This window comes from Homo sapiens, chromosome 13, assembly GCF_000001405.40.
Source record: "Homo sapiens chromosome 13, GRCh38.p14 Primary Assembly".
Classification (NCBI taxonomy): Eukaryota; Metazoa; Chordata; class Mammalia; order Primates; family Hominidae; genus Homo; species Homo sapiens.
The window spans coordinates 90,695,509-90,721,916 of NC_000013.11; the positions used below are offsets into that span (position 1 = coordinate 90,695,509).

At 35.9% G+C, this 26,408-nt stretch overlaps 1 long non-coding RNA gene across 1 annotated transcript in view; it reads left to right on the forward strand.

Moving 5' to 3' along the window:
- Positions 1-15,968, forward strand: part of LOC107984572 (uncharacterized) — a 28,043-nt gene extending 12,075 nt beyond the window's left edge. Inside the window, exon 3 of the long non-coding RNA XR_001750066.1 lies at positions 15,756-15,968. This is a non-coding gene — a long non-coding RNA (uncharacterized LOC107984572). The remainder of the gene's footprint in view (positions 1-15,755) is intronic.
- Positions 15,969-26,408: the final 10,440 nt, after the last annotated feature.

Genomic DNA, 26,408 nt, shown 5'->3' on the forward strand with positions numbered 1-26,408 from the left:
GAGAAACATTTGTTCAGAACCCAGAAAGCTTACCTTATCAAAATTTATCTGCTTAAGCAGAGACAGACCTTGCTCTGCTATCATTTACTCTCCTGACAGATAAAATGAACTACTACATCTTCTGAGAAAGTGCCATATATTTATCCATCCATTTCCTCACCATCCATTAAGTCATCTGTTCATTCATTCAAGACATATTTACTGAATGTTGGCTTTGTGTCAGGCATTGTTTTAGGCACTGGAGGTGTGTTAGCAAAAAAAACAGCCAAGTGTCCTCTCCCTTATGAAGTTTCTTTTCTTTTTCTTTTTCTTTTGAGACGGAATGTCGCTCTGTTGCCCAGGCTGGAGTGCAGTGGCGCGATCTCGGCTCACTGCAAGCTCCGCCTCCTGGGTTCACGCCATTCTCCTGCCTCAGCCTCCTGAGTAGCTGGGACTACAGGCGCCTGCCACCACGCCCGGTTAATTTTTTATATTTTTAGTAGAGACGGGGTGTTAGCCAGGGTGGTCTTGAACTCCTGACCTCGTGATCCACCCGGCTCAGCCTCCCAAAGTGCTGGGATTACAGGCGTGAACCACCGTGCCCGGCTATGAAGTTTATTTTCTAGCAGGAAGAGGCAAACACAGAGGGAGATACAATAAAATTTAAGCAAATAATCAAAAACAATTGATTATATGTAATATATGTATTATTATAGTGGAGATGATAACTGCAACAAACACACTTTGTATGTACTTCTAAAGTAGGAATATATATGCTCCATTTTAATGTACCTGATTACAGTTTTGACCACTGTATTTCTTAGCAATTGCATTTGGGTGTAATTAACAAAGACTTGGTATAGTGTCTCAAATGAGTCAAAGGTTTATTTTCTCACACAATAGTAGTCCAAAGGTAGCCTGCCCAGTGATGATACAATGCATCCATGAGTCATTAGGCTGTTTTCTTTCTTTCTACTCAGTTGTTCTCAAAGCTGTGGTTTTCATCCTGAAAGTCACTGGATGCTGTGCAAGACAGACCCCTTAAAAACATTTCCTGGAATCCTGATCCTATGTCTTCTGCTTACATCAAATGGCCGTTCCTAGCTGTAAACAAGGATGGGAAACATAGTATTTTACCTGAAAATATCATTGTCTTGAAGAAAATCAGGGTTCTGTTACTAAGGAAGCAGAGATAATGAATATTTGGGAAGTTCCCAGCAGTCCAAGCCACAGCCTCCTAGACTTCAGACCTCTTTAACACAGTAGGGATTCCTTCTCTCTCATCTCAGTATCCAGCGTAAGGTATAGCATGTTAAAGATACTCAGTACTGGTAGAAGAAGCCCTGAGTAAATGAATGAGTGGAGTCCTTGATTAAGGCAGTGGTTACTTCCTTGGCGCCTGAAACAGGAAATGACTCTAAGGTAAATAACCCTTTAAATAGTCTAAGTTAAATAATGCTACAGTCTGTAGCCATTACGGTCTCCTCAAAGATACATAAAGCAACGCTTTTTACAAGGACTTTATAATATATTATGATCTCTCGACTAATATACTTTCAATCCAGCCTAGAATGTTGTATCATATGACAGTTATAAATGAATTGCTCTGGGAGCAATTTATAAAGAATGCTCTGGGAGCATTTATAAAGAAAGGATGGGCCACAGGTGACATGCTGAAGTGAAAAATGACATTCTTTTAGATATTGGACACTTAAGTGTTAAGTTTGTATCATATATTATTTCAATTTTAGAGCATAAAATGCTACCATCTGCACGAGTTGCACATAATTTGAGAGAAATTCAAATGTTGTCCTTAGAGAATCAAAGTTCATAAGATCAATGGTATTTTCGCATGTGAGGCCAACATTTCAAACACATTCTATTTTCCTTGGGTGTCAGTATCTAACAAAATGTCTACAGAAAAGCAGGATTTATGTTCTGTATTTAAGATCTGAATAAGTCTTGGGGTTCATTCTTTTGGCTAAGTTTCCCAGAAAAAGGAGAAATTAAATCACCTGAGAATATTCTTCTTGGCAATGCCATGGGATCTTTTGGATCACCACAATGTGATAATCATCCTCAATGATAAAATAAATTACACACACACACACACACACACACACACACGAAAATGTGTACATATGAAAAATAACAAAGACACACAGAAAAATACACAGAAACTGAAGAATTTTCTTTCCTGACACTCAGTTTCCATGGACTAATGGGGTGGTCACATTCTGGATTTGTCTGGATTTGTTTCACACTTTTTTTTCAATTCTAAAGAAAAACATTAAAAATTCTTATCAAATGAAAAATAATAGCTTAGGTGCAGTGTCTCATGCCTGTAATCTTGGCAGTTTGGAAGGCCAAGGGGCATGGTAACACTTGAGCCCGGGAGTTTGGGACCAGCCTGGTCAACATGGCGAACCTCTATCTCTACAAATAATAATAATAATAATAATAATAATAATAATAATAATAATAATAATAATAAATGAAAGCTAGCCAGGCATGGTGGTGCATGCCTATAGTCCCAGCTACTCAGGAGGCTGAGATGGGAAAATCAGCTGAACCCGGGGTGATGGAGGCAGCAGTGAGCCATAATCATACTGCACTCCATCCTAGGTAACAGAGTGAGACCCTGTCTCAAAAAAATAATAATAATAAAAATAAGAAAATAATAGATCTGCAGAAAGTAAAAAAGATTAGCCTATATGGATGATCCAGAAGTATGCTAAGAAAAATGTAATTCTAAGTACCAGAAAATAATTCTATAAAAAATATATATTAGTTCATAACCACAATATATTTAAGAAAAATTTAAGGAAATTTAATTCTAAGTACCAGAAAAGAATTCTATAAATAATATATATTAGTTCTTAACCACAATATATTTTTTGATAAAATGTGGAAGAGCTAGCCTTTTCTGAAGGGAGATTTTCTAGGTTTCAGCTGATAAAATTTTAGGTACATGTGCTTTTTATGTTTGGCAAGTATTAAATTTAATCATAGAGTTATTGTCCATAATTAGTATTTGTCTTCTCATACAGAATGACATCTAGTTTTTCCTTTACCTTAAAAATATTCATTGCATGTCTTCAAAATGAGCATATGCAACATGTATGTATAATTAAGTATGCATGCATGAATATGCATATGCCCTGATGTACATCTAGATGTTTATAGAGAGACATAAACAATTTCCACCAGTCATAATCTGTATTTCCTTGAAAAACAACCTTATTTTTTTTTAACTTTTATTTTAAGTTCAGAGGTACATGTGCAGCCCATTAATGGTGACTGGAAATCCAAACTTCTTAGGTAACCACACCAGCAGTGGTTAAAGTAAAAGAAGACATTGTAACATTCATCTGCACAGCGTTGGAAAATGCAGAGAAACATATAGTGCTGTGAAAATGTTGTAAGAAAATGTCCTGTCCCTATTTTCAACTTCACATTGTTTCAGTGTAGGGTGAAATAAGATGTGGCCTTCTAAAAATTTTCTTCCCTTCTGTATTGAAAAAAAAATAATAACTTATTCCAGAATTTGTGATGTATCAGGACCCTTCTTTTTTCCCTAACTGATGGAATCTATTATTGTTCATTTCAATAATAGTTTATAAAAATGCTCAGTATTTTAAATTTCACTTACCATAACACCAGGTCACAATATATACTTTAAAATGTTTTCACGGAAGGAACGATTACTATTATGTGCTAAATCTAAGTGTGTAGAAATGTATGGAAGATGTGTGTGGAAAATTATGTAGAAAAAGTATATAAGTCCTCTTGAAACATATGATACTTAAGATAAATATTTTCTCACTAACTCATAAAGAACAAAAGCCATCCATATTATCTGCTACGGTCTGAATGTGGCCTCCGAAATTTATATGTTAAAACTTAATTGTCAATGTGATAGTATTAAGAAGTGAGGCCTTTAGGAGGTGTTTAAATTATGAGGGTAGAGCCCTCACTAATAGGGTTAGTGACCTGATAAAAGAGGCATGTGGGAGCTGTTCGCCCCTTCCACCACGTGAAGATTTAACAACAAAGTGTCATCTATGAGGCCCTTGCCAGATACTGAGTCTGCTACTTCCTTGATCTTGGAATTCCCTGCCTCTGGAACTATAAGCAGTAAATTTCAGTTGTTTATAAATTGCCTAGGCTATAGCATTTTGTTATACCAACCTGTAAGGACTGAGAAAGAAATTGGTACTGGGAATGAGGTGCTGCTGTAACAAATTTTTAAATATGTGGAAGCAGCTTTGGAACTGGGTACCAGGTAGAGGCTGGAAGAGTTTTGGGGGTATTTGCTATGAAGGGTGATTCTGGTGAAGACCCAGAAGGAGACAGATCTGTAGAGAAGGCTTTAACTTTTTTACAGATGTTGTGTTCCTGTCCTACTGCTTTGTGGAAGGTGGAAATTGTAAGTGGTGAAATAGGATATGTGGTGGAAGAAATCAATAAGCAAAGTGTTGAGAATGCAGCGTGGCCTCTATTGACTGCTTATAGTAAAATGCAAGGAAAAACAAATTAAAGATGAAATCTATACACAAAATGGGACCATAATGTAAAGACTTGAAAAATTATCAGGCTGACCATCTTGTAAAGAAAGAAAAAGCATGTTCAGGAGAAAATACCAAGAGTACAGTGAAGCAAATATTTGATAAGGAGATTAGCATGAACACAAGGAAGCCAGATGCTATTCATCAAAACAGTGAAAGAATGACCCTGAAGGCATTTCAGATATTTTAGGTGCTGGCTGACCCTCCCATCACAGGCCATAGTTACAGGTCAACTCCCAGGGGATGGACTGATGTCGAAGAGGACCCTCAGACACCCACAGAGCCTCATTCAAGCCTCTTCTCCCTGCATTCTGGCACAGTGCTCCTCATTTATCCCAGGTGTGGCTCAAGTAGGCCCAGGTGCAGGGCAGGCTGCTGTGGCCACCTCTCCAGAGGGACCAGATGGTAAACCATGGTGGAATTCACATGATACCACCTCTACCATGGCACGGAGTACACAAACTCTAAGGGCATGGTTGCCTCCACCTAGATTTCAAAAGATGCCCTCAAGAGCATCAGGGCCCAGGCAGAGTACTGTCACAGGGCAACCAAAGAAAGTCTGCACCAGGGCAATGTTAAGTGGAGCCATTATTTAGGGTTACTGCAAAGAATCCCACACAGGAAATGCCTGTTGAAGCTATTGGGGTGGCACTGGCCCTGAGACTCTTTCTGACATGTGAGGATGCAAGGACAAGGTGCCATCTATGAAGCCCTCATCAGACACTCACTCTGCTGATGCCTTAATTTTTGACTTCTCAGTCTCCAGAACTGTGAGCAATACATTTCTGTTGTTTATAAATTACTCAGTGTATGATGTTGTATTATAGCAGCCTGAACAGACTAAGACAATATCCAAGATTATGTTTGGGATATAACAGGCCTATAATTATAATATCTTTAATACATATGGTAATAGATTAAATGTAATAAGTTTATAAATGAATTTTTCTACCACCTCTTAATGGAAACAGATGATGTCTTGTCAATTTTCTGTATTTAGCACCAGAAAAAGTACATGGACACTAAGGAGCGCAATCCTAGCCCACAGCTTTCTCATCATCTAATTTCATCTAAAGAGCGAACTGGGATTATCAAGAGCAAGAATTTCCAAAATTTAGAATGCATAAGGATTACATGAAGTGATTACGAAAAGTGATATTTCTAAGGCTTTGATTCCAGAGATTCTGATTTAGTGAGTTTGAGTTGGGCCCCTACATCGAATTATCTTTTCTTGAAAGACTGATGCAAATTGTTCCCGTTAACACTTGATAAACACTGATATGTAGGAATGAAATAACTGTGTATCCTTATTTCTCACATGTCAGCTTTTGAGAATAAATGCCCATAAGGCATCTTGGAATCATGTTCAATGGCAATAAACAGGAGTGCAGGCATCTCATTTTGCTGATTAAGAGTAAATGTGTATGTTTTGACATTAAAGCTGAGGTTAGAGTTGACAATTTTTAGAAATCCTGTGGAGCTAACAAGAATATTGGCCTGAATAACTAAACACTTTCAAGTTAAGACTTTCTTTAGAAAACATATTTGATCTTTATCAATTTACAAAAGCATGGGTCAAAGATACCATGATTTTGTACCATAAAGTCTGGACACAATAGTTTTGAACAACTTATGATATTAATTGCTTAAAATAACCATTAAGTATAAAACAGAGAAAGAGAATGACAGAGAAATATTCAATAGACTCCACAAATGAAGAGTAATCATAATGTGTGTGTCTGTGTACACATATCCATTTTGAAGTAAATCGGTTGACGTGATATAATTTCTATTAAATACCAATTAACTTTTTAGGGACTATATTCAAAACTTTCAATTTAAAAATATTTGATCATGAACTGCTATTCATATAAATATTAAAGGATGGTTTAAAAAGTGACAAAAGCATAAAAATAAATACAACTTTCTATTTTTGACAGATTTGAAGGGGATATGTACATATTTTTTTCATGTCAAGATTACCTAAAATTATCAAGTCATAAAATCCAAGTTTTCTCTTTAATTTATTTTTTTGTCTCTCAAATTTGTTATGTGATCTGTCGGGAAATTGTTGCTATCGATCGTGAAACCTCAGGGGGTATTAAGGTCTTTACAGGCATCATTTTCTGCCTGGTCTCTATTGACACCAAACAACTTAGCGATTGGTGGTCTCTCAGGGTCAAAGACTAGGGAAAGATCAATAAAAACTGCAAACAATCTCATGTTGTTTTCACAGCGAATTCACAAGGTGAGAGAAAATAGAATGTGCCTCTCAACTGTTGACTTCTGTGTCTGGACTCAAAGCTCCACAGAAACAACATCATTTCAATACTTAAAATGAGAAAACCTTCAGATAACTATTTTTTAAATAAATAAACTTTATGGAAATATAATTGATATATAAAAACATCTGCAGGTGAATAGAAAATGTGTTGAGTTTGGATATATGCATACACCGATGATACTATCACCACAATAGAGGTAATAAATATGTCCTCTACCTCCAAAGGTGTCCTTCTGCCCCTTTGTGTGTGTGTGTGTGTGTGTGTGTGTGTGTGTGTGTTGTTTTGTTTGTAAGAACACTTAACATGCAATCTACCCTATTTCTTAAGTGCATGATACTATGTTGTTAACTATAGGTGCTATGTGGTACACAAATCTCTAGAGTTTATTCATCTTGCATAACTGAAACTTTACACCATTGACCAACAACTCCCCTTTCCCCTTCCGACCGCTGGCAATCACCATTCTATTCTCTGCTTCTATGAGTCTGAGCATTTTATACACCTCATATAAGTGGATTCATGCAGTATTTGTCCTTTTGTGAATGGCTTCTTTCATTTAGCATATTGTCCTTTAAGTTTATCCATGTTGTCACAAATAGGATTTCATTGTTTTTTCAATGCTGAACAATATTGCATTTTATGTAGATACCACATTTCCTTTATCCATTAATCTGTCAATGGACTTCTGTTTTTTTTTTCCTACCTTGGCTATTGTGAATAATGTTGCATTGAACATGAAAGTGCAAATGTGTCTTTGAGATCCTGATTTCAATCCTTTTGAATATATACCCAGAATTGGGATTGCTAGATCATAGGATACTTTTTTTTGATAAATCTTTATGCTACTCATAATGGCTGATTCATTTTACACTTACATCTACAGTGTTCAAATGTCCCAATTTTTCAGCATCCTTGGCAACACTTTTTATTTTTACTTTTATTATAGTCATCCTAACAGAGATGCAGTGATATCTAGTGGTTTTAATCTGAAATTCTCTGATGATTAGTAATGTTGAGTGTATTAGCCTGTTCTCACACTGCTAATAAAGACATACCCAAGACTCGGTAATTTATAAAGGAAAGAGGTTTAATTGATTCACAGTTCCACAGGGCTAGGGAGGCCTCAGGAAACTTACAATCATGGCAGAAAGGGAAGCAAATACATCCTTCCTCACATGGTGGCAGCAAGGAGACGTGCTGATCAAAAGGGGGAAAAGCCCCTTATAAAACCATCAGCTCTCATGAGAATTCACTCAGTGTCATGAGAAAAGCAGCATGGGGGTAACCACCCCCATGATTCAATTACCTCCCACTGGGTCCCTCTCACAACACGTGGGATTTATGAGAACTACAATCCAAGGTGAGATTTGGGTGGGGACACAGCTGAACCATATCATTGAGTATGTTTTTTTATATACCTGATGAGCACTTCTATGACTTCTGTGGAGAAATATCTACTGAAGTCCTTTGTTCATTTTTTAATTGCATTGATTTTTGTTTTGTTTACTTGTGTGCTTGTTTACTATTGAGTTGGAGGAGTTTCTTAAATATTTTGGAGATTAAAACCTTATCAAATACATATGGTTTACAAATATTTACTCCCATTCTTCAGATTGCCTTTTCATTCTGTTGATTGTATCCTTTGAGGTGCAGAAGCTTTTTAGTTTGACATAGTCCCACTTGTGTATTTTTGCTTTTGTTGCCTTTGCTTTTGGGATCATATTTAAGAAATCATTGCCAAGACCAATAAGCTTTTCCTCATTCTTTTCTTCTAGAATTTATACAGTTTGATGTCATATATTTAAGAATTTATACGGCTGGGCATGGTGGCTCATGCCTGTAATCCCAGCACTTTGGGAGGCCGAAGTGGGTGAATCACCTGAGGTCAGGAGTTTGAGACCAGTCTGACCAATATGATGAAACCCCGTCTCTACTAAAGATACAAAAATTAGCCAGGGGTGGTGGCATGCTCCTGTAATCCCAGCTACTCATGAGGCTGAGACAGGAGAATCGCTTGAACCCAGGAGGTGTAGGTTGCAGAGAGCGGAGATTGCACCATTGCACTCCAGCCTGGGAAACAAGAACAAAACTCCGTCTAAAAGTAAAAATTAAAAAAAAAGAATTTATACAATTTAATGTCTTATATTTTAGTCTGTTTTCAGTTGACTTCTGGAGATGGTGGAAAATAGGGGCCAAATTTCATTCTTTTGCATATGATTATCCAGTTTTCCCAACATCATTTGATGATGAGGTTGTCCTTTCCCCATTGTGTATTTCTTGGCACACTTGTCAATAATCAGTTGCCTGTATATCAGTGGGTTTTTTTTCTGTGTTCTCTATTCAGCTGCATTAATCTATATGTCCAACTTTATGTCAACAGCAAACTTTAAATTACTGTAGCTTTGTAATATAGTTTAAAATTAGGAAGTGTGATGCTTCCAGGTTTGTTCTTCTTTCTCAAGATCATTGGCTATTTTGTGTCTTTTGTAGTTCCATATAAACTTTAGAATTTGTTTTGCTATTTATTTCCAAATAATAATGGCATTGGAATTTAGTGGTGACAGCGCTGAATCTGTAGATTGCTGTGGGTAGTATGGGCATTTTGACAATATTATATCTTCCAATCCATGAACATGGGTGGCCTTTCCATTTATTTGTATCTTTTAAAATTTCTTTTATCAATGTTTTGTAGTTTTCAGTGGATAATTTTTTCAAGCCCTTGGATAAGCATATTATTAAGTATTGTATTTTTATGCTATTGTAAATGGGATCATGTTCTTTATTTTTTTTGAATAGTCCATTGTTAGTTAAAAAAGACACAACATTATTTTGTATGCTCATTTTGAATTCTTCAATTTTACTGAATTTATTTATTAGATCTAACAATTTTTCTAGTGGTGTCTTCAGGGTTTTCTATATATAAGATCATATCATCTGCAAACAAAGACAGTCCTTCCATTCTGACTTAAATGCCTTTTTGTTTTTTTCGTTCCTAATTTCTCGGTTAAGACTTCCAGTACTATGTTGAATAGAAGCGGAGAGAGTGGACATCCTTGCCTTGTTCCCGATCTTAGGGGAAAAGCTCTAACTTTTCACGGTTGAGTATGATGTTAGCTGTGGGTCTGTCATATGTGGCCTTTATCATGTTGAGACACATTCCTGCTATACTTATTTTGTTAAATGTTTTTTATTGTGAAAGTGTATTAAATTTTGTCAAATGCTTTTTCTACACCTATTGAGATGACTATAGGATTTTTTCCTTCATTCTGTGAGGGTTAGGGTTAGGGAAGCATAGGGTTAGGGTTAGAGTTAGGAAAAGGTATGTATATCCTTCACAGAAGGATAAAAATCCTATAGTCATTTCAATAGGTGTAAAAAAAGCACTTGACAAAATTTATTACTCTTTCGTGATAAAAACACTCAACAGGCTGGGCACGGTGGCTCACACCTGTAATCCCAACACTTTGGGAGGCTGAGGTGGGCAGATCACGAGGTCAGGAGATCAAGACCATCTTGGCTAATGCAGTGAAACCCGGTCTCTACTAAAAATACAAAAACTTAGCCGGGCATGGTGGCGGGCGCCTATAGTCCCAGCTACTCGGGAGGCTGAGGCAGGAGAATGGCATGAACCCAGGAGGTGGAGGTTGCAGTGAACCAAGATCAGGCCACTGCACTCCAGCCTGGACAACAGAGCAAGACTCCTTCAAAAAACAAACAAACAAAAACCGTAACAAACTAAGTATTGAAGGAATCTGTCTCAACAAAATGAAGGCGTTATGAAATTATGACATCTATTGATATGTGTGTGTCGAATCATCCTTGCATCCCAGGGATAAATCCCACTTCATCATGAATGATAGTTTTTACTGTGCTGTTGAATTCAGTTTGCTAGTATTTTTAAACAGTTTTTGCAACTATGTTTGTTGGTAATAATAGTCTGTAATTTTCTTATGTTGTAGCACCCTTGCCTGGCTTTGGTATTAGGGTAATGCTGGTCTCATCAAGAGTTTGAATATGTTCTCTTCACTTTTTTAGAAAAGTTTGAGAAGGGTTAATATTGGGTCCTCTCTAAATGTTTGGTACAATTCAGCAGTAAAGCCACTCAGTCCTGGGCTTTCCTTTGATGGGAGACTATTTATTACTGATTCAATGTTCTTATTTGTAATTGGCCTGATCAGATTTTCTATTCTCTCCCATTTTAGTCTTTGTATGTTGTACATTTCTAGTAATTTATTTATTTCCTCTAGTTAACAAATTTGTTGGTTTATAATTGTTCATATTTTCTAGTGTGATCCTTTGTATTTCTGTGGCATCAGTCATAATGTCTTCATTTTTCACTTCTAATTTTATTTGTCTTCTGTTTTTCTTAGCTACTTGCAATGATTAATACTGAGTGTCAACTTGACTGGATTGAAGGATACAAAGTATTAATCCTGGGTGTGTCAGTATGGGTGTTGCCAAAAGAGATTAACATTTGAGTCAATGGGCTGGGGAGGGCAGACCTACTCTTAATCCAGTGAACACAATCTAATCAGCTTCCAGCAAATATAAAGGAGGCAGAAAACATAAAAAAGAGACACAGGTCCAGCCTCCCAGCCCACATCTTTCTCCCGTGTTGGATGCTTCCTGCCCTCGAACGTCGGACTCCAAATTCTTCAGTTTTGGGATTTGGACTGGCTCTCCTTGCTCCTCAGCTTGTAGACAGGCTATTGTGGGACCTTGTGATAGTGTAAGTTAATACTTGATAAACTTATATATATATATATAATATATAATATATATATCTCAAGTATAATAGGATATATATATCCTATATATATATATATATATCTCCTGTTAGTTCTATCCCTCTAAGAGAACCCTAATACACTAGTTTAGCTAAAGACTTGTCAATTCCATTAATCTTTCAAAAAAGCCAAATATTTCATTGATCTATTGCATTTTTTCTTCTAGTCTCTATTTGGTTTATTTCTGCCCTAATTGCTATATTTTCCTTCTTTTTGCTACCTTCAGGCTTTTTTCTTTTTTTATTTCCTTGAGGTGTAAAGTTAGCTTGTTTGAGATCTTTTATCTTTCTTAATGTAGGCATTTATCACTATAAGTTTTCCTCTTAGTACCGCTTTTGCCACATCCCATAAGTTATGTGTGTTGTAGTTTCCTTTTCATTTGTCTGAAGGTTGTTTAAAGCTTTATTTTACTTTTAATTGACACATAAGTGAAAAAGATATTTTTGTAGTAAAGTGTAATGTTTCCTTACATATATACAGTGTGTAATTCTCAAATCAGGGTATTTAGCAAATCCATCACCTCAAACATTTATCATTTTCTTCTAGTGAGAACAACCTGAAGATAATTTTTGTCTCTCTTCTGCACTCTAAAGGCTCTTATTCTCACTTGATCATTATTTACTTTTTTTGGTTGCTACGGTGCTCTAAGTTTAAATTTTCTCTAATGACAGCTAGTGAGATACCTGAGCCAGATATGCCCAATAAACTAAATCAGTCAAAATTGTGTTATTTGTACTTACCAGTTTTAAAAATATAAGTAGTTCTCCCAGTAACCTCCTTCCTGTGATTGTATTTAAAAGAATAATTACATGTATCTCAAAAACGTATGCCCCAAACCATTCATGACAACATTACTTATATTAAAAGTTGGAAGCATTAAATTTCCAAAAGTAAGTCAGTATTTAATACATCAGGTTAAATCTACAAGATAAAATACTTTTAGTGAAACTACATTTAAATATACCGACAATATGTGAAAAGTAAAAAACTAAATCTACACAAACAAAAAAACTATATATACCTTGTGGGTTACATTGATTTAAATGTGAATATTATCCATGTCTGTAAGTATGTATTGCTCTATCTCATCTCTTTCTATGCGGATGCCAAGGCAGAGAATGACAGCATTGGCTCTCTGTGGTTGAAGACAGTATTTAGTGTCTTCTTTCTCTTTCTTTATGTTTATGTATATGCTGTATTGGCTGCAATGTTGCCTAGACAAGTCATGTTCATGGAATAGATGAGCCACACATTACACTTCCATTCAGAGGAAAGAATGACACCTTACATTCTTCCCTCCTTCTACAACACACACAGCTATTTCTGCTTCTGAGCAGGTGTGGCTTTTTCTGCCATTACCTTGAATGATAGGTGGCAGGGCTTTGTAACACCAGCACACAAACTGTTTTGAGCTCTTGATCACAAATATCTAAATATAAACTCTGGTCACTAGCAAAAATAAACCTGTATCCTGAATGTTTTCTAGTTAAAGCACACTTCATGTTCTGATTCAAGGAATTTCTAAATGTCTTTGCAGTGTGAATCCACTCAATAAGAAATCATATGGAACAACCTGCAAATTTAACTTTGAAGATAGAGACAGCAAAATATATCACTACAATCTCAGCACTAGGAAATGCTACCTTAAATAAAGGCAATATTGATTTTTAGATAATCTATACTATGCTGTTCAAGGATATTACTTTCTTAATCAAAAGAACCATAATTTTTGTGTATTTACTAAGAAAATAAAACAGTTAATTTTACAGACTTTCTGGATGTATGTAAATATACAAAAGAGACTAAATTTTAAGTGTGATTTATTTGGACATTTTGATGTATGTATATATAATTGTATATAGATTCCTGAATGATTATATTTATGTATTTATATATACATACATTAGTTTAAGGTATGACTGTAATATATCTATATAAATTTAATGTCCTCTTTCGTACAGTATTTAATCTACCCATGCCTATGGAAAATCTTTCAATTTCAGAAGTGAATGCTTTGACAGTATAACTATGTGTAAGAATAAATAGGTATTATAATATAATACACCTTCTATGACTACTTTTGCCTGTGGCTTCCATCTTTGCAAGATTTCAAGTTTGAGATTCTACCTTTTATCAATATGATTTGATGCAAGTTGGCTCCAGACTATCTCCCTTGACAAGCTAGTTTCATTTAGATACATTTCTTTTATTGGCAACACCATTGTAAGCCCAGGATAAATAATATCCCATAATCATTAATTTATTTGACTACCTTTGTCTTCAGTCTGTGAAGTCTGTGAGTTTCTTCACAGGAAAATTCCTCTTATTTTTCATCTTTCTGTCCGCAGATGGTGGCACCATCCCATGAGCTGAGTAAATTGGCAGTTATGAGTGGGAACAGCAGATGGGACACTTAAGTCAATAGAGAGAAAACCTGTGCTAGTGGAGCTTACATTCTAGTAGACAGACATAGACAATAAGTGCATACATAAAAGTGATTCTAGCAGAGAGTGATCAATGTTATGAAATGAAAGCAAGTTGATGTAATAGAAAATTAATGATTGTGTAGATGAGGGTCATGAGGTTATTTAGATATGGTGATGGGGTAACTTCTGGTAGCTAGGCTTAATTTCAACCAGCAGCTGAAAACTGAGAAGAGACAGGTCTTACAGAGAATTAGAGGGTGGACTGTGCAAAGCGAAGAGTGAAGATTTTTGAGCCAGAAATGAGTATGATACATTCTAGGGGAAAAAAGATCAGTGTGACTAATATAACACAAGGAAGGGGGAGACTGATTTCAGTTGGATTCCAATTGAACAGAATTTAAGATTTTTAAGAACAAAAAATACAATACTAATGTTAATGATTAGTAAAAGTTATAATGGAGCCTCCTTTTGTTAATTCAGAATAGATCCATTGTAGCAATGTAAATGTTTGGTTAGATCAAGGGCAGGGCAGGCTGACCGTATAGGGCTAAGCTTCGTATGTATTCCTAAGTACTTTTGGACCAATTAGCTGCAGATAAAAATTAACCTGTTTCATATCATAATTATTTCTGGCAACTGCTTTTAGGAAGATGATCCATTACTTAGTTTAGGTATTATATTTATTCTATTTCCTGAAACATCACATTTTATCATCACTGATCTGAAGTCACTGATTCTATATCACTTTGTATCAACAAAACACCCAATCAAGTTTTCCATGCTTATTGGGTTTAAAACATTTTCACATAATTTAGAGAAGTATGTTTTTTTTTTTTTTGTATCACGTACATAAAGCCTACTTCCCTAACTCACTGGGGGAAGGATAAAGTCAAGAGTATTCCCTTCCGTGTTGGGGGGTATATTTGTTCTTGTTTCAAATCATCTAAATTCTAAAGCTCGTTGTACGCTACAGATCTTGTTTCTATGGTTACCTTGAAAAAGAAGAATGCATGTTATTATACACAAACCCACTATTTCAAGAATGACCAAATAGGAGAAGAAACCACACATGCATTTCCATTATTTGTAACCTAAGTCAGCACAAGATTAGAGAAACAAAAAATAGAGTAGGAAGTTAAAGTCAAACATGAAAAAATAAAACGAAACAACAAAAGAGAAAAAATGTGTACAGAAATTTTTGAGCACAAAAGTAAATAATTATCCTCTTCAAGGACAAAAGCATGCTCTACCTGTGTGCATGTGTATGTGTGTGTTTTAAAATTATAGTTTAATAAAACAGTAATGAGTTTTAAGGGTGATCTTCTTTAAAATTTGCTTTTCTATTCTACTATTAGGATAATAATAAATTCCCACTAATTGTTATTTCAAAGGTGATCAGCAATTATAGAAAGGGAAAAGAAATAATCATAAAACAAATAGAAAAATGTGTGCATGTCTCAAGTACTGTTGGCAAAAATATATATATATATATATACATAATATAGTTTCTACCCTAAGGAAGATTATCATGCATTTGTATTTGAAGAATTAAAATGAGCTTACATGACATATTAGATATTAAGGTATGAGTAGATGAGAAAATGTACAAGAGAAGAGCTAAAAGGGAGCTTTAATAAGTTAGGTAGACACACCTCAGTCATGTGCCACAGAGCATTTAAAAAATATTTTTAAATCTGTTATTACAAACAGTGTCTGTATCGAGTGCTGGAGAATATGTGGACAATAGGAACCAGCATTCTCTTCTGTCAGGAGTATGAACCAAAGTAGCCAATCCAGAGTACAATCTGACATTGCTCAAAGAAATTGAGAATGCACATTCCCAGGACCCAGCAATTCACGTTTGAAAGAAGATATGAATGCAGCACTGTTTATAGTAATGGGAAGTTGGAACAGCTTCCTGTATTTCAGGTAAGTAGATAAGTTAAATACAATTTTATGGTATACTCTTCAGCAGTTTCGTAGGTAAGAAGATGCATATTTACTTTTGTGAATAATTTTGAGTATAAGTTAAGAAAATGAATGTTTCTATGATATGATACTTTGCGTAAAATAAATACACATGTACACATATCTATGGGCACTTATAAAACTTTTTCTAAAGGTAGCCTTGGTGGGAAAGGAGATGAGAAAAAGATAAGTGGGGATACAAGGAACAGAGACACCTTAAATGTATAATGATGTTGAACCATGAAAAAGGAGACTAATCCAGTCAACTCTCTAGACATTTTCAATGGAGTTAAAAGAAAAAAGAACCAGTAATAGTGATAAATACACCATGTATGTCTTCAATTTTTGAAACTCAACTATTATAAAGAATCATTCCAATAGCACCAAGGAGATTTCAATATCTGAATTAGAAGAATTGATTGAACCTTCAAGTAATCTTATTAACTAAGAAACCTAGTAGCTGTTAGATTTTAGCAATTTTCTTAGCAAAGTTTATTAGACATTTAATGTATTTATTACATTTCTTTATAACCCACATCAAAAATTGTTATGTTTAGTTCCAAAAAATAAAATATAAAGATTATAACCCTAGGATTTAAGCACATCGAATATTCTTAGACTGACTGAGAACATGTAAAAAATATCCTATACGATCAGATCCACTATAAAACAACTACGATCTTTATTTCTATCTATTTTCTAAAAATCTCCCTTGTTTTTTAAGCAAAGAAGTAATTTGCTAGGAAGGAAATAATGTTCTAGTCTGGAATATTTTTATTTCAGTGCCAAACCTAGCAATGTTAAGATATGAAGGCAACTTGACTATTTACATCAGTTCTGTAAGCAAATTACTCAAACTAATTGTTTCTGTATTAGTACTGCTTTGAATTTCACTAAGACCAAAGAAGAATTGGTGTATATGGAATTCTGAAAGCCAGGCCTTGTGGTAGGTACTGGAGCAACAATAACAACAAAATAAAACCCCTACCTTCCAGGACCCTATGGCTTAATGAAGAAGACCAATTAGAGAGCAGTTATTTTCAACATAGTGTTCCTGTACCATAAGGAGGCAAAATGCAGGATTCTATCTAAAAACTCAAGGTCTCAGATTACCCTGGCTTTCTTTGAGAGAAAGAGACACTATGCTAAAACCTGAAGAATCAGTTTAGTTTTCTCAGATGATGAAAGGAACAAACGTATTCCTAAAAAAGGGAAAATAAAATAATCAGTAAATGTACACAGGCAAGTATGTACACATACTAAATACTTTAGTATGGCAGGAATATATTATTCAGACTTGTAATTTGCATGAAATGAAGGAAAAGAGGTAAGCAGAATGCTTTTCAAGGGTTTTAAATCACTACGAGATGAGGGCTTTACACTAGAGACAATGAGAGTCACTTAAGTATGACCCTGGCATGATTAAATTGCGCATCAAAAAAATAAACTTTTGATATGAAAACTTAATAGGAAGGGAGATTTGTTAGGAGATATGAAAATCTGTTAAAACAAGCATGCATATCCTATGTAAAAACAAATGAACGTTAAAAGAAAAAACTATGGGGAAAGAAAAAAGATAAGGGTTTGCCAAGAGTTAAGGGGGAAGGAGGCATGAATACGTGAGGCACAGAATATTTTTAGGGCAGTAAAATTATTTCGTATGATGTATGATACTATAGAGATGAATACACATCATTATACATTTGTTAAAACCCATTAGATGGACAACACCAAGAGTGAACACTAATGTAAACTATGGACTTTGGGTGATAGTGATATATCAATACAGGATCATCAGTTGTAACAAATGTGCCACTCAGGTGGGGGATGTTGGCAATGGCGGAGGTCATGCAGAAGGAAGCCTGGGAGTATATGAGAACTCTCTGTACTTTCTACTCAATTTTGTTGTGAACCTAAACTGCTCTGAAAATAAAGTTAAATAATTAAAATAATAAAACATGGATTCAGTAGACCTGTAATAAAAAGAGGACATATTTGAGAGTCAGTAAGAATGAGGAATGAACAGAAATTGTAGAAGGATTAGATACAGGAGAACACAGGAGAAGAGGAAGTGAAAGTACCACCCTGGTTTCTAACTTAAGGGTATGAAGTAAAGTGTGGTAACATTTAATAGTACATGGAATAGAGAACCAAGCGAGGGTGGGAAGTGTGTGAGCAATGATCATTTATGACCCTACTGAATCTGGGGAACTCATTTGACACTGCAGTATAGATGGCTGGAAAGAGATAGACAGAGGCAGAGACCACTAACCTGAGGCCATGGCCCCAGGAAAGCAAGCTCCAACAAGTAGGCACTTTCACAGTGTCTGGACTTAGCATTACATAGGCTAGTCACGTAACACAGCTTTATGCTATGACAGTGATATCGGTAGTAGATATTATCTCTTGCTTCCACCTACTTTAGGTCATCTGGATGTCAGAAAATTTCATCAATAGGGTCTCTGCCTCTTTCTGCCACCACTTTCCAGCCATCTTTGCTGCACTGTCACATGTGCTCCCCAGATTCAGTAGATGGCCACCTCTAACAAGGCAGGCTTATTAGTAGAACCCGTATAACAAAACAGTAAGAGTAAGCCAAGGTGGAGGAAAAGATTTATAGGGAAAATAATTGATAAAAATTATCCTGCTTTTTATCAGAAAGAAATTGAATTAAAATAAAATGAAAAAAGTCTGCTCCATCTCTATGGCAACAAAAGGATGGTTACTGAAAACTACTATGCTATGTGTGTTACTTCTGTTTGGTTTGTGTGTGTGTGTCTGTGTGTGTGTCTCTGTGTGTGTGTGTGTCCTTAACTGAGCACTGGGTGTCTATTTACTGTTAAGAGCCTAATTCCATAAACATCATTTTCTTAATACAAAATTAGGCTTTTTTTTAATCAAGAAAAAAATGCATTTGGGTAAATGTGATTTTAGAAAAGGTCATTTAGTAAAAGAATTGGCATGTGCAGAGCTCTTACCACTGAGGAGAATGAATTAGAATTCAATGACCTACTTTCAAACTTGCTCTCATGGCTAGGAATCCAATATCGTTCTGAAGGCTTGTGAAAAAGTTGAGAAGATGACCTTTGAAAACATGAGCCTAGGAAGGACCTAAGAAACAAAATCCACGTCTGTAGAAGGCATGAGATTTTTACATTTTGGCTTTCATAGCCAAAATGATGATGATAATGAATAATAATTGAAGTCCTGCATGTTGTGAGGTAGGCAAACTGCAGTGGTGGAGCCAAGTCAAGAGTGGAGAAGCTTCTGGGAGGACACGCTCTTTATGAAGGACCAAATCTTCACTTCCCCTATGCAGGAAAGGAGAAAACCTAAGTTCACTGAAACTATAAATATTCTTCCTTATATGTGGATAATTCTGAAATTACCTGAATGTATTAGTCAGGGTTTGCCTAAGAAACAGAACCAATAGAATGTGTATAGCTAGATACATGTCTTTATCTATCTATCTATCTTTCTATCTATCTATCTATCTATCTATCTATCTATCTATCTATCTATCTGGAAATTTTAAGGAATTGGTATACATTATAATGGAAGCTGGCAATTCCAGATTCTGCAGGGTCGGTGGCAGACTGGAGACCCAGGGAAGAGCTGATTTTGTTGCAGTTCAAGTATGAAGTTAATCTTCCAACAGAATCCTCTTTTCCTGGGAGTATAGTCTTTTTTTCTCTTAAGGCCTTCAACTGATTGGTTGAGGCCTACCCACATTATGGAGTGCAATTTGCTTGACTCAAGGTCTACTGATTTCAATATTAATCTCATCTAACAACCCCTTCACAGAAACATCTAGAATAATATTTGACCAAATATCTGGGTGCCATGGCCTAGCCAAGGTGCACATAAAATTAAACACCACACTGATATTTTTCCAAAATTTGTGAATTTATGTCTCAGTTTAATAAACTGGCCTTTGATATTGGGCACAAGAGGCGAATGGCCAAGGAAAAGCAAATGTGCTTTGCCACACTTTCTTCTAGATGCCTACTGATATATGGAGCAAGTCTAATAGATAATAGTGCCAAATGGGGCCAGCAGAAGAGAGGGAGGGAGGGAAAGATAATGCAGGCTGCCCACATGCCAGAGATTAGGAAAACAAGTTTTCTAATTTCCCTACAAGTTATAAAGCAGCTGGAGTCTGTCGTCTTCTAGCTAATACTGAAAAAAAGGCCTTTTGCCTCTAAAAGTACTTCAAATATATTTAAGATTCCAACTCTCTCCCTGTCTTTAGGGTAGTAATAAAGACTAAATAAGTAGTGTCTGAATCTATGGCAGATATCAATGAAATATCAAAAATCTTTGCATGCCCATGTAACCCAGATTTGTGACTTCTAAGAAAATGTATCTCTTTGCTAATCTCATTCATATCTGGTCTTCAAGAATATAACCTTGGAAGTTGACATTTGGATTTATAAACATAGTGTTCTGTTATGTCTAGAAATGCTGTCCCTACAGTTAGTTCTAAAGCCATCCAAATGTGGCTTATGTGAAACCAATCTCAGGGAGTGTAGTTTTAAGATGATGTACTCAGTCAGTCAGAGAAAATATGACTTGCTATATTTTGAAAGAGCTCAAATATTTTATAGTCCAAGGATAATTTCTCAGTCAGATGTTACATCAATCGTAAGGTATATCCGAGTAATTATCTTCCCATCTTCAAATCTACTTTTTGTGAAACTACCTCTTTTCCTCCGGCCAACAACCCCCAGCCTATAGGAGATCATAGGCTATGAATCCTGAGCTAGCAGTTATCCCCAAAAGTTAGCAATTTGGACCATGGCTAAGGTCTCTGTTCTTATATTTTCCAGGGCATGGCAGATGGGCTTGGCCATGAAAACTCCTTACCAGAGAACATGAGTCCGTGGCTCTAAAAACAACTACAACCCAAGTACAGACACAAAGAGCCTAGTATGAAGTCAGTTGCACAGACGCAGCCCTGGTATACAGTGGACTCACAGCCTCTTGTTTCTAATAATTTCCCAGAACACCCGTGTGGTAAGCTTTTTGGTGGAACTGATTATGATAATCTGGAGTGAAGTTTAGAGTTTGAGTAAGAAATGAAGTAGTGAATGAGCAATGGCAGCAGCAGCAAGTTCTGTGCTTCCCTCAGCTGATTTCCATTCATGGGACCTGTTATGTTAGGTAGACCCACTCTGGGGCTGCTTTCCATCATTCATGCCCTGTCACGCAGGCTGACACCAGATACTTTGATATGGTGAAGAAGGACCTATTTAGGTAAATGAAATTCCCAAAGGTTTATGAATATGGACTCTAGAAGGGGAGGAGATCTTGTCCCCAAATCTTTCATTTGCATATCCTGCTAAACTTACCTGTCATTAACAGTATTCTATCAATCCTGTTAATGTTGTAAATGTTTAGCGTTCTAAGGTATATATTGGTAAGTTCTGACAACACTGCTGTTCCATAGTAAATCTAACTGATTTAAAAGCAGGAGTCAGATAATGGAAACAGATCTGGAGGCAGGGTTTGAGGCCCTGCAAGTACATAAAAGAAACAATTAGGTATGTTTCTTGGCCTGATTTTCTAGGGACCAAGTAGGATAAAGTAACCATCGGGGGGGATGTACAGAATATCAAACTTCTTATCATAAAATATTGACTTACCAGCTGCAGTAAGGTGAAGCTTTCTTAGACATGGAATTCTTAGAATAGCCATATCTGGTCTCTTAATATCACCTATGAGCCATGTGTCATTCAGCACATTTATAACAGCATATGGCTAAGAACAAGGTCTGGGAACATGGTGCAGTGTCAAATACAGATACATCATTTACTAAAAGTTAATTCTACTGTGCTGAGAAAACATATTTAATGGGCAATATCTATGTCCAAAAACAACTACTGAATGACAGGCAAGCTTGATTGGAAAGACATAAGGCAGTACACAAAAGAAAAATTGTAAGGACACAAGCAAGAGACCTACAGTGGATGTGGTGTGGCTGTGGAATGCTTGGGGGAAAAAAATGAACGCATAATCAGTTTGAAGTAATTGCAGTAAGAGGAATGACTCATTTTGAGCAAGGACAGCCTTTGAAAGAAAAGGAGTCATAAACAGAGTTGGCAATGATTATTAACTTCCATTTGTATGCTGCACAACACATTCCAAAACACTTCCACATGTTTTATCTTAGTCGAATTGGAAAACAATCCTGAAAGTCAGAAAAAGCAGGTATTGTTCTCCCTGTTTTGTATGCAAGGAAAGGAATGCAGAGAGGTTAATTGACTGGCCGAGGTCACATTGCTAGTTAGAGAACCAGCAAGGAAGAGAACCTAGGTTTCCAGAATCTCAGTGTAATGTATTTTAACCACCCCTGGCTGCACACAGCAGTTTTGCTGAACAAAGAAATTCTTCACTTATGTACAGCTTAGAGAACCCTGGCGTTTTTATCCAGCCTCTTCCTATTAATAACAATGATGTCAATTTCACCCCTCTCCAGCTATGAAATCATATGACCCCAGAGGTCACTGGGTTCATCCACCATCACACAACGTTCACCAGCCCAAGATCAAATTAACCTTTTTGCATTACTACCAAAATGTTTACTCCTATTCACCTTAAGGCCAAACATACACTTCATAGACATGTATGATGCATAGAATTACTTAGCTTTACTTAGAAAAATAGAATCCTTGCTAAAGAACACATTCCAATTGCTTTACCTTGGTGGAGAGGAGACATAAGAAGAATATGAGGTAATTACAATGTCTATTATGACCTCAGGCTATAGGCCTTAAAACACCACCTTAAAAATACAAAAGGATAGTTGATGTTTATTTTCCGACCTAACTTGTAATTTGCTATATTCCATATATCTAAATCAAATTCCACTGCAATCAGAGCTAGAATTCCACAGCAATCAATGCCTGCAGTCAGGCTGGAAAAAAACAGTTGCATTTGGGTGTCTAATCACTACCTGTCAATACCTGCTGTTGAACAGGAGTGGGCTCCACTTTCAATTGTCAAACAATTGATTTTTCCAGGCGATGTGGATGAAGTGGACAAGAAAAGCTCCTGTGTTTTTATCCACGACCCTCCTGCTTGGAACAACTGAACCCCAAATCAAAATAATTTCACTCCACATCCTAATTATATCAGTTGTCAACATCTCTAGCATCAAAAATATCCCGTTTATTCCAGTTCAGTATGTCAAGCACAAGAAAATATAATCACAAGTGGGAGCGAAAAGAAACATGATGTGAATCGAGAGAGCTGTTTTGCATGAGGCAAAACTGCACTGTAGTTTGCATTCGAATCTATTTCAGCATTTGAAGATATGCAATTCTTCTCCTACAAGGGTATTATAATTGATTGTGTGATTTGTATAAATAAATGAGGCTTAAAAGAAAACCACATGACTTAAAGTTCTTTCACTAGTAAGAATATGTGTAATTTGTTCTCCAGTTGGAGACTTAGAATACTGCTGGAAAAACCTAAATTTGTTTAATGTTCTGCCTCTTTCCTCATTGGCTGCCTAATGTTTTTAATCTATTCAGTTCAGACCATTTCTGATTGATGGGCACCATCAGAATCTAGCTGCGGATACAGCTTCCCTGCAATCAATAGCAGTGGGACAAGTCTTCATGTTATATATAAGAATATTCACATAGTTCCTTTGCCATACTTTAGCAAGGCACATTTTCTTTTTCTTTATTAAGCAAAATCAATTCCATACACTTGTGTTTCAAAGTAAATGGCAAGACACTAATATAAGTACTGCAGAGAAAAAAGCAATACAAGATATGGCCTCTGATTAAAAAAAAAAGAAGTTGAGATTGACAAATTTTGAGCCCTTACCATCTGGGCTATGCCAAGTCTTTTAAATGTAAAGATGGATGTCCAACTCATTCTTGTAAATAAAAGGACTGGGACTTACAGAGATTGAATCATTTGCTAAAGGTCACTGAGAGAATGCATAGCACGTCTCTGGTTCCAAAAATTTTCCAGTGTTTTGTGCAACACATTACAGTCTCCCAAAACAGATCCTGTTGTCTCATGGAGAAATAAGACACAGAAGTGATATGTCACACAATTACAGTGCAAATGAGATATAGAAGGCCATTTCTTAGTAGTCATAAAGATACTAGTTACCGTGGTAACAATACTCTAGGAGCATAGTGATCCTGGAAATTATTTCAGGTGAAGATGTTTAAGAAGGCCTTTGGGGGAGTTAAGAGAATTAAACTACTTCTTAAAGAATGAGAGAATTTGAATGAGATGAGAATAATGAGCTCAGTATTGTGCCATAGGGGAACAGTATGAGCAAAAAACTCAACGGATGTTTAAAGCAATGTGCCCAAGTATTTCAGTAGGATGCAGGGCTTGATTTAAATGCCCTCTTCAATCTCAAAAATTTAACTAGTTAGAATATGGTAGACACTGGATAGGTACAGTGTAAGTCAGGCTCTCTTGCCTATTCAAAAATCTCTGCCTTAATGGCTACATGATTACTTGAAATTCTCATGAATATCAGCTTTCTTTCAATTTAATGTTTTAACTTCACATAGTCACTCTGGCATCTCTTGATGAAAGTCAACATTTTCTTGAAGTTCTTCATACATTAACCCTTGTGCTGTCACCAATATGCTTGTTTCCAGATTGTCATGGATGTAAGACCCCAAATAGTTATTTTAATTCTGAGGCTTGTGAAAGGGTCAATAAGCATGAGATATTGCCTATGGAAAATGAATCAGGAGTAGGTGGGCAGTGAAGGGAGAAAAGATGGAGAAGTCCCCTTAAATGATATATACTGATAACACACAAGGTGGTTTTAGTGAGGGCTGGCTGAATGGAAACATTTCACATACACTATAGCATGAAGGTCAACAAGTATGGTTATTGCTGATTCCTTGGAGTTCTCCAGATTCATCTCTAGTAGTTCCTACATTTGGAGAAAGACTATTACTTGGGAACAAATCTATTCTTCACAATATTAAAGATTAAACAGTATCTTCATGTTGTGTGATAGAAAATTGCTGAAATTATTTACTAAATGCCAAGACTTTCCATTGTGTGATATTTCAGACCATCACAAAGTACCCATGTAGTTTTATCTCGTGGGAATCTTAACTGTAGACATAATGGATAAATTGTTATGAGAAAGAATGAAATGAGATGCAGAAACAGCTAATAATATATTGTCAAAGTCATTGTTACCATAATAAAAGCACTCTGTTGCTTTTGCCCCCTAAACCTCTTTTTCTGCATTTGGTATGAGATATATATATATATATATTATGATAAATAACACTGTTTTCTCTTTGGCAGCAACGCATATTGAACATCTTTGCCTTTCACAATCACTTAATTTTTTTATACAAAATAGTTAGCAAATAGTACTTACTTCTGGAATCTATACTGTCCTCAAGTAATGTATCCGAGATTCTTGTAATATCTGAAATGATTAGGAATTATTAAGTACCTATCAGCATATAGCAGATGCTTGATAACTATTTGTTGAATAAATAAAATACCTGGATGATTAAAGAAGGACTAAGGGCACACATTTACATAATCCATATTATATGCTACTTTACATGGTTTACAAATTTTACATATTATTTAATATTTATAACAATCTTATTATTAAAGGTAAATTATTATTCCCCTATTACAGATTTTAAAAATTGAGTACTACATTGTTAGTAAATTACCAACCAAATATTTAAACCCAGGCACTCCGACACAAGTCATTTCTATTAACTATTCTGCTGTGAATGAATTAAGTTCAACAAATGAATAATTGGAACTACCTAGTTTCTTAAGATGTCTCCCACTCATTTTTTAATAAAATCGTTAGCTATAATCAATTTTATTGTTATATGTCACATTGTGATTCCTTAATGGAATTTTGATAAAATACACATTTATAATAATTGTTGAAATTTCTCATTGAGTCCTGATATGGTTTGGCTGTTTCCCCACCCAAATCTTATCCTGAGTTGTAATAATCCCCACGTTTCAAGGGCAGGACCAGGTGGAGATAATTGAATGAGTAGTGTGGTTTCCCCCACACTGTTCTCATGATAGTGAGTGAGTTCTCAAGAGATCTGATGGTTTTATAAGGGGCTTTCCCCTTCCTTTTGCTCTGCACTTCTCCTTCCTGTTGCCTTGTAAAGAAGGACATGATTGCTGCCATGATTGTAAGTTTTCTGAGGCCTCCCCAGCCCTGCAAAACTGTGAGCCAATTAAACCTCCTTCCTTTATAAATTACCCCGTCTCAAGTATTTCTTCATAGGAGTGTGGAATGGACTAATACAAGTATTATATCAGTTTATGAAAACAACACAGTGTATGGGATTTCCTCAGTTTTAGGGATCCTATGATATACTACCTAGACAATGCAAATTAAAGTCA